The 8,020-nt window shown below is 32.5% G+C and overlaps 1 long non-coding RNA gene across 1 annotated transcript, besides 1 other annotated feature; it reads left to right on the top strand.

Annotated features, from left to right (window-relative positions):
* The first annotated feature begins 412 nt into the window (after positions 1–412).
* On the top strand, positions 413–7,752 carry LINC01680 (long intergenic non-protein coding RNA 1680). Its single transcript, NR_146892.1, has 2 exons — positions 413–588; positions 7,599–7,752. It is a non-coding gene; the product is annotated as a long intergenic non-protein coding RNA 1680 (long non-coding RNA).
* Positions 2,405–2,605: a silencer, noted in NCBI's record as "peak596 fragment used in MPRA reporter construct". NCBI's record gives its function as "represses an SCP1 promoter by STARR-seq MPRAs in K562 erythroleukemia cells {active_cell/tissue: K562}" and the evidence as "EXISTENCE:reporter gene assay evidence [ECO:0000049][PMID:32103011]".
* Positions 7,753–8,020: the final 268 nt, after the last annotated feature.

Below are 8,020 nucleotides of genomic sequence, written 5' to 3'. Positions count from 1 at the left end.
GTCTGAGGCCTTCACATTCGCTCATCACTCACTCACTGGCTCACTCAGAGCAACTTCCAGTCTTTCAAGCTCCATTCATGATATATGCCCTCTACAGGTATATTATTAAAAAATATTTTATATTTTCCTGTCACTTTTGTATGTTTAGATATGTTTACATACACAAATATTTAGTATTGTGTCACAATTGCCTACAGTATTCAGTACAGTAACATGTTATACCAGCTCCTAGCCTAGGAGCAATCAGTTATACCATACAGCTTAGATGTGTAGTAGCCTATACAATCTAGGTTTGTGTAAGTATACTCTATGATGTCATATGATGATAAAATCACTTAACAATGCATTTCTTAGAATGTATCTCTGTCATTAAGTGAGACATGATTTTATATATATAATTCAGAGATAATGAATGTTGAGACATAAAAAAGATTTTACTTTAGGCCAACTCTCCTGAAAAAGTGGTAGGTGTATATGATCTCCGCATAAAGTGAAAAATATGGTTTCTGCTGACCAGAGGTTAGACTGTGGCAAAGACTGCTTTTGCTCAAAATCTATTATCCCTTCCGAAATGTATAGAGCTGTCTGGTAAGTAACTTCTCAGCTAAATCAGTTTCCCCTATGCTGAACTCTCTATCCTCTTATAATTGGTGTGGCCATGTTACTTGTTATTACCAGCAGAATGGAAGCAGACATTATATGTATTTCTTCCAGGCCAAGAGGTTATGTTTTTTTAAAATTCCATCTTCTTCATTCTCTTTCCTACATGTTTTAAGAGGTTTCTGGGATCCTAGGTATGGTGATGATACAAAAATGGAAGAAACCTGGGTATTTGAATCACTGTGTGGAAAGGACATGTTCATTAACATAAGCACCCATTTGGACTGTCTTAAGAGTGAGACAAACTTCTATGTGTTTGAACTACTACCTTTTGTGGCATATCTGTTTCAGAAATAAAGCTCCAACAATTAAACCTTTCTTTACTATACCTGACAAAACATATGAGTAAATTAAAAGATGACTTTCTAAATGGATGATAAATCAATGTTTTACAATATCCTCCCACTTCTGCATATTTATAGACCTACCAAACCTATATATGTATATATTGAAAACCTGTTTTTATATATTCTATAGTCATATTTCTATACCTCAGTGTTATATAGAGTAATAGCAAGAAATATTAGCATGACCACAATAAAGACACATTTTTCCCCTAATAGTCATATAAAGACATAGATTCACTAAATAATATTGGAATTATCCAAATTATTTGTGATGATCTTGCTACCTAAATTGCATAACCTACAAACACATGTATGACCATGCATGTACACACACATATATAGACTAATAAAATAAGTGAATTGTTTTTAATATGTGTCTGTTGTAAACATGATATGTCAAGTCAAATTTAAACGATATCATCAGCAACTGAGGTCATATCTATATGACAGTAGACAATTAGATGAATTCTGATTTTGTTTTGATTTGATTGATAGTTATGACATATTTCACCGCAAAATTTATATGTAAAATTCTTCAAAATAAATATCAATTTTCTTTTCTCAAGTGTTATATAGGTAGTGAAGAGGACGTGTTTATGGTTGTAAAAATGAAAATGTATTGAAAATTGTGTAGCTAAAATGGATAAGCTTATACTTTTAGTTGTCTATTGTTTAACTAAAGAATGTTCTTCATCTTGGCATAATCAGGAAAATTCTCAGCAGCCTCAGTGTTCAGTAAATAAAACTTATCTGATTCTATACATGCATATAGAGCTTTCCATTCATGCACAGTCAATATTTTGAAAAAGTAGAAGAAAAAAAGATAAAATAACATTTTTATATTTATCAAGTATTTAAATAAAAAAACTGAATTGTTATTATTTAGTGTATCCTCTCAAAATTGCTGATTATGATCACATACTTTTATCAATATTATAACTTCAAGTTTCATCTTTAAGTTATAGTATTTTATTTTTTATATTATATATATATTTTTCTATGTATAGTTCTTCATTTTATTTATTGTATAAAGGAAAATTAGAAAAACCATTTGTTATTAAGTGTTTTAATATTAAAAGACTAGCTGCTTCTTGTTACCACAGAAATCAGTTTTTATTTGCTATTTTTGGATTTCTTATATCATTCTATATACATGATTCAACTTAACACCTTGTAAAATGTCAGGCTATCTTAGGGTGTTGAATGGGTTTACCATAAAGTAGGCAAGTGTTTATCAATTCATTTCCAATCTTCACCATATCAGTGAAATTACTGTACTTTGGTCAAGGTAACCTATCATGTCCATTTTTCGCATTCACTGGACATATTAGGTTATCTCACTCAACTCATTATCACCTTTAAAAAAAGTTCACATCTTCCTTATTGAAACAGTCTCTTCATTCAGCAGCTAAAATTGTAAACTCTCCTGTAGGTGCCAGAAGCTTCCAAGTTTTCCAGGGCTCTTTAACTTTTTTTTGTTGTTGTTTGTTTGTTTTTTTCCGGGACTATGGTCTTCTTATGTACCTCTTCCTCAAAGACAGTTTGTGCCTTACAGCTCTTTCAGATGTAATCTGCTGTTATCATTCTGAGCCCTCTTGGCGTGGTGATAAGGTGTCAGAAAAGAGGAATGTTCTGTAATCTTCTGATTAAATCTCGTTTTTTGTGGGTTCTATCTTGGGATTGTGACTTTGATGTGTTTATTCAATTGCATAGCTTTCTTGCTTCTGCCCCCGTTTAGTTCCCTGGCTACATCCTTTCCAGCCAGTCTACCTCCTTAAATCCCTGAGCCCCGTAAACCATTCACTCAGGTGAGAAGGGAAGGCAAGAGATAGCTGAAGGGAGAAGAAATTTCCTTTCCGGGCAGGAATAAGGTTTCAGAACTGGGCAAAGTCCTTATACCTGGAATAATATAGAAGGTTCTGAGTGAATTTCACAAAGATTTATCTTCCTCTTCTTCTGCCATAATCACAAGTGATCTTTTGAATCCTCACCAAAAAATCCTGGTGTGGAAGTGTGAAGGCTCCCTTGGGCCTGGGACCTTCAGCAGATTCTCACTGCCATACTAGTCCACGTTCGGCCTGCAGTAATTCATCAATATTGCTGTTTAAGTGCCCTTCTATGGCTCCAGTGCGCACTACTCCGTGTAAGCAGATCGTGGTTATTTTATCTCTCTCGATATACCTTTCTCTCTGCGCATTGAGATGGCAGTTCCCCTGCAACTTCAGTTCTCAGGTGGATCCAAGAAATGCCATTTGTTTTGACGTTTGTTCAGCTTCCTCTGTTCTGTAAGAATGAGAGTGAACTCTTTTAAGCGCTTCATCTGTTGCATCTAAAACCAATGGTCAGTTCTGGCTTTTTCATAGTTTGTAGAGCACATCAATGTCTCCAGCTGAGTTTTTCCCCTTATGCTTTACTCTTGTCTCTTTCAACAAATGACTTAGTCTCATCTTCTAGGTATCAGCCTTAAATGTCACTACAATACTGAGGTCCCCTTGTCATTCTCTTTAAAATAGCTTCTTCACCCTCATCTTTATCAGTGACAGCATCCTTTATAAAACTTGTCAAAATCTCAAATGATTTTCTAAGTTATTTTATCTTATAAAATTAAAATTGTTGAGGAAAAGAAATATGCCTACATCTTACTCATCCTTGTGTTTTTAATGTCTAGTAAAATTTATTACTGAATATTTTACTAATAAAATTTTATTATCAATGAAAACATTTAATATAATATAAAACATTATTTTTAAAATATGAGATCAGTTTATTCATTCAGATATCTTTTATATGTTTTTTCCATTGAAATTATATATTTTTTCATCATTATGTTCAGAAAACTTTGATGAAATACTTCAAATTAACTTACAATCAACTTAATTTTTGTCTGCAAAATAAATATTAATATCTACTGTATGGGTTATGTAGTCTTATTTACTGACATGACTTATTTCCTGACTCTCACTTTAATTTTCACCAAATTAGAGCAGTATGTTACTATTTTTTTAATTCTACACAATGTAACTTGAATAAGCAATTGTCTGAGATTTGGGATTTGCCTGAATATAAGCTCAAGCTGACATTAAATGACTTCACATCATATCATATAAAATAAACATTTTTATAAAATGATCCCTTCATTATAAAGTATGAGGTAATAGTATGGAGTAGAGTTCCCAGCCAACTCACAATGTCATGTCAACTGTGCAATAAATGAATTTAGGTTGTTTTAAGCTACTGAATTTGCTTGGTTTAGCAGCATAATCTAGATTTGTTAAGTTGATAGAATAGGAATTCAAATGAAAACTCATAATTAATCTTACATTTCATATTTATGAAATGCCAGCTAACCAATTATTTAAAAATCTTTATGAATTTTGCTTGGTTGGTTGTTTTATCAGAAACCATGCTATAATCTTAAAATCATTTTATGTGTTTGAGTAACAGTGCTATAAATAATACATAATCTTATTCGAGAAGGTCTCCTGATTTAGGATTGGAATTAACATATGTTTAGGATTTACAGCAATTTCACAGGGGACTCATGGAATGTTGAAAACATATACTCCTAAATGATGTTAACTATATTACCTCCTATATATATTCTTTCCCAACCATTACACATATTTACTTTATTTTTTTTATTTTAATGAAATTCACCAGGGAGGAGTGAGCAGCTAAGTAATCTATCCCTTCTCAGGCATAAAAATTATCAGAATTCTTCTTGAGGATACAATGATGAGGGCTTTCATTTCAAATGGGTGGTGATTGTCAGTCTTATTAACAATAATCATGGAAAGTAAAATGTCCCAAATTTATATTGACTTTTACATACACATACACGCACGCACAGACACATAAAAACGTTTGATAAAAAAAAAAAAGAGTGTAAAATGATTTTACTTAGAAGCTCTTTGGTTTATTTCCATCATACCTGAAGTTTCAGATGGAAATGCAAAAATTGAATGACTTGGGATCTTTGATTTGCTTGATATTAACTCAATGAATGTTGCCAAATGTTCTTGAGTAAATTGTGTTTTCCATGTAATGGCCTAATAATTAAATTCTTTTTACCCTAGTATTTAACATGCATTACATTGTCTTAATATATATGCTTATTTCTATGCCTTGGTATTCTCACTGAATTACTGCAGCTATTCCTTTTTTCCTTTCTCTCTTTCTGCCTATTTGTTTCCCTCTCTTCTTTCCTTCCCTCCTTATTTCTTTATCTGTCTTCTTATAATATTATCATTTTGTGTATTTTTTTCTTTTAAACTGATTCTCTTCTTGTATACTCTGTTGAATTAAAATAATCCTAGTGGTGAAAATGTTCTATTATCATGTTAAGGTCAGTAGCATTAGGTTTATACCAATTCTCTAAACAATGTATTTGTAATAGACTAGAAATAGAATACAGGTTTTATACAGATTGGAAATTGTGTGCAAAATTAATAGCTATGAGACAGGAATATGACTTCAGACATACTAGAGCACTATTGTTAAATGAGGCTGAAAATGGATGTATATTATGTGTGTCTTGAGTAAAACTCCAATTATGAATCTATGTATGTGGCTAAGGGTCATCTTCATATTCTGAGTCACTTTTGAATATTTTTTAGTGGTACCAGTAACTGCTTTTAGGACAGTACTAAAATAATGTTTTAGTTTTAAATGGATTTACAACAGTGCTTATATGGAGGGATTTTTAATTTTCTGTTTTAGGTCATTAAATTATTGATATTTTCCTGAGATAACTTTATTTTTATAGTATACATCTCTCCTTCTCTCTCATTCTCTCTCTGTGTGTGTGTGTTTGAGTGTGTGTTTGTATCCAGAAGTCTAGTCTACATTATGATGAAAATCAGAATCAAATTATATGTCAATTAATGTGGGTCCTATTGTAGCAGGCCAGGTCTCACTAATGCAGGCCTCCATAACAACTGTTCCAGTATTGACTTAGTGGTTAAGTTAAATATTAAAAGTCACTGCCCTTATTCAAAGGCTAGAATGTAATAAAAGCCCACCAAGGGTTTTGCCTAGGTCTTTCCTGGGCCTTAAAGCATGACAAAATAACGAAGAAATTCTTAACAGGGCCAATTTAGAATTAAACATGTTTTATTGCAGGTTTGAAGAAACTCCCCAGGCTTCCACAAACAAGTTTATTAGGGGTCTGAAGGAACTCCCCAAACCTCCATGATTTAGCAGGAGACAAGATAAGGTTAATCACCCAGCACCTGGACCCATTTAGATTAAGTAAATTTACAGAGGCTCCAGAGGAAGGTCTTCAAGACTCAGACCTTAGTTATAGATTAAAAGAAGTTAATCACTTATGTCTTTAGATGAATGCACACTTACATGTAGACGTATCGCTTAGAAGGTATATTGCCTCTGGAAAACTTTGTAATTTTGAATTGGCATGGTGATAATTTCCAGGCCCTTTCCCTGTAACCAGTTGCAGAAATACACACTCGCTTCCTCCTTAGTTCATGTGTATCTCGTTATTGGCCCATGAGAAATAGAAGCCCAACCCTCAGTTTTGTTTGGGAACACTATGGTACTTAGAAAACAGTCTCTCTGTAATAGCCTATAGATGATAGGCAATCAAATACTATAATCATGATTAATTGCTAGCCATCTAGCAAAGAAAGCCCCAGATGCATTTAAATACAGATTTCAGCTCGGCATGATATACAAATTGAAAGCTCTCTTCTTTTTTATTAGTGTATTTATTAAAATAACTTACTATGCCTGTCTAAAAGCATTAAGTACCTTCAACGGTACAAAAACAAGTTATAATCACATTAACAGAACATTTATGTATTTCAAGATCTTTCTCTTTCTAAATGAACTCTGCTATTTGTCCGTTCTGTTAAGGAATACAGTACTATAAAGAGAAGCTTATTTTAAAAAATAGGGAAAAAATTCTTAATTATTCGTTTCTTTGAACCTTAAACCAAAATAGAAAAATTTTCCTTCTCAATAAAAGGACCACTGAATGGAACCATTTCCATCATAAAAGTAATGGAATTTCCCCTCATTACTCATCCACCACCATATCAGACCCTCTAAGAATTGTGTATAAGGCCACTTAATATGAAAATTTTTAATTCTTTGTTTAGACATAGAGAAAGGGAGAGACTATCTCTCACATCACTAGAATGATTATCCACATAAAGAGAATGAAGACTTCTACAATGATGGTGGAGACAAATGAAAATTGGTAAAAAAAAAATCTTTATATGTATATTCTAGATACTATGTAGGCATAGAAATAAATATACCAAAGAGACTTTGAAAAATCTCTCTTGCAGGTCCAAATGCTTCTTAGCCACTTGCCACGTGATAATCCAAATTTTTCTCAAAAAGTTGGCCTAATAATAAAATACTAATGTTTCTATAGCATGGTACTGCAAGGACTGGCCTTTGCCCTCTTATAGTATAGTTTTATAAGTTACAATGAGGGGAGAAAACAAACATAAAACTTTTCATAAAATTTTGTCAGCAACCAGAGGAACACCAACCATGAGCATCAGATGAGAAAGGAAGATTGTAACTCAATAAATAACTCATCATTCTTTGTTATCTTTATTATAGGAGTTCATGTTGCCTTTTCCTGGAGAACAAGTAAATCAAGTAAATGGGAGGGGAAAGAGTAAGGACAGAACTGGGACTCATTTCTCTCTTACTAAGGGGATGTCCCATGGAAAGAACACCTCTTACCAGCCTCCTAATAAACGTTCTGATGGTACTTACTGATTGATTTAATGGAGTCCCTATCTAAGAAATGCCTTTTAAGTGTCAAAGTCTGAGATACTTATTTAGACTGAAGGAAACTTAGGACAATTAAATGTGAAGCATATATCTGAAATGGATTATTTTGCTATTATAGACATTATTATGATATTTGTCAATATTTGAACAACAGATCTAATCAGGATTAGATGAAATAATTTTCTTTTTATTTCAGATTTTAAAAGAATATTAAAATTTATTTTTATCAAGTTATAATGGATGTG

The sequence above is a fragment of the Homo sapiens genome, chromosome 1 (assembly GCF_000001405.40).
Source record: "Homo sapiens chromosome 1, GRCh38.p14 Primary Assembly".
Classification (NCBI taxonomy): Eukaryota; Metazoa; Chordata; class Mammalia; order Primates; family Hominidae; genus Homo; species Homo sapiens.
This window is presented reverse-complemented; position numbering and strand designations above follow the sequence as displayed.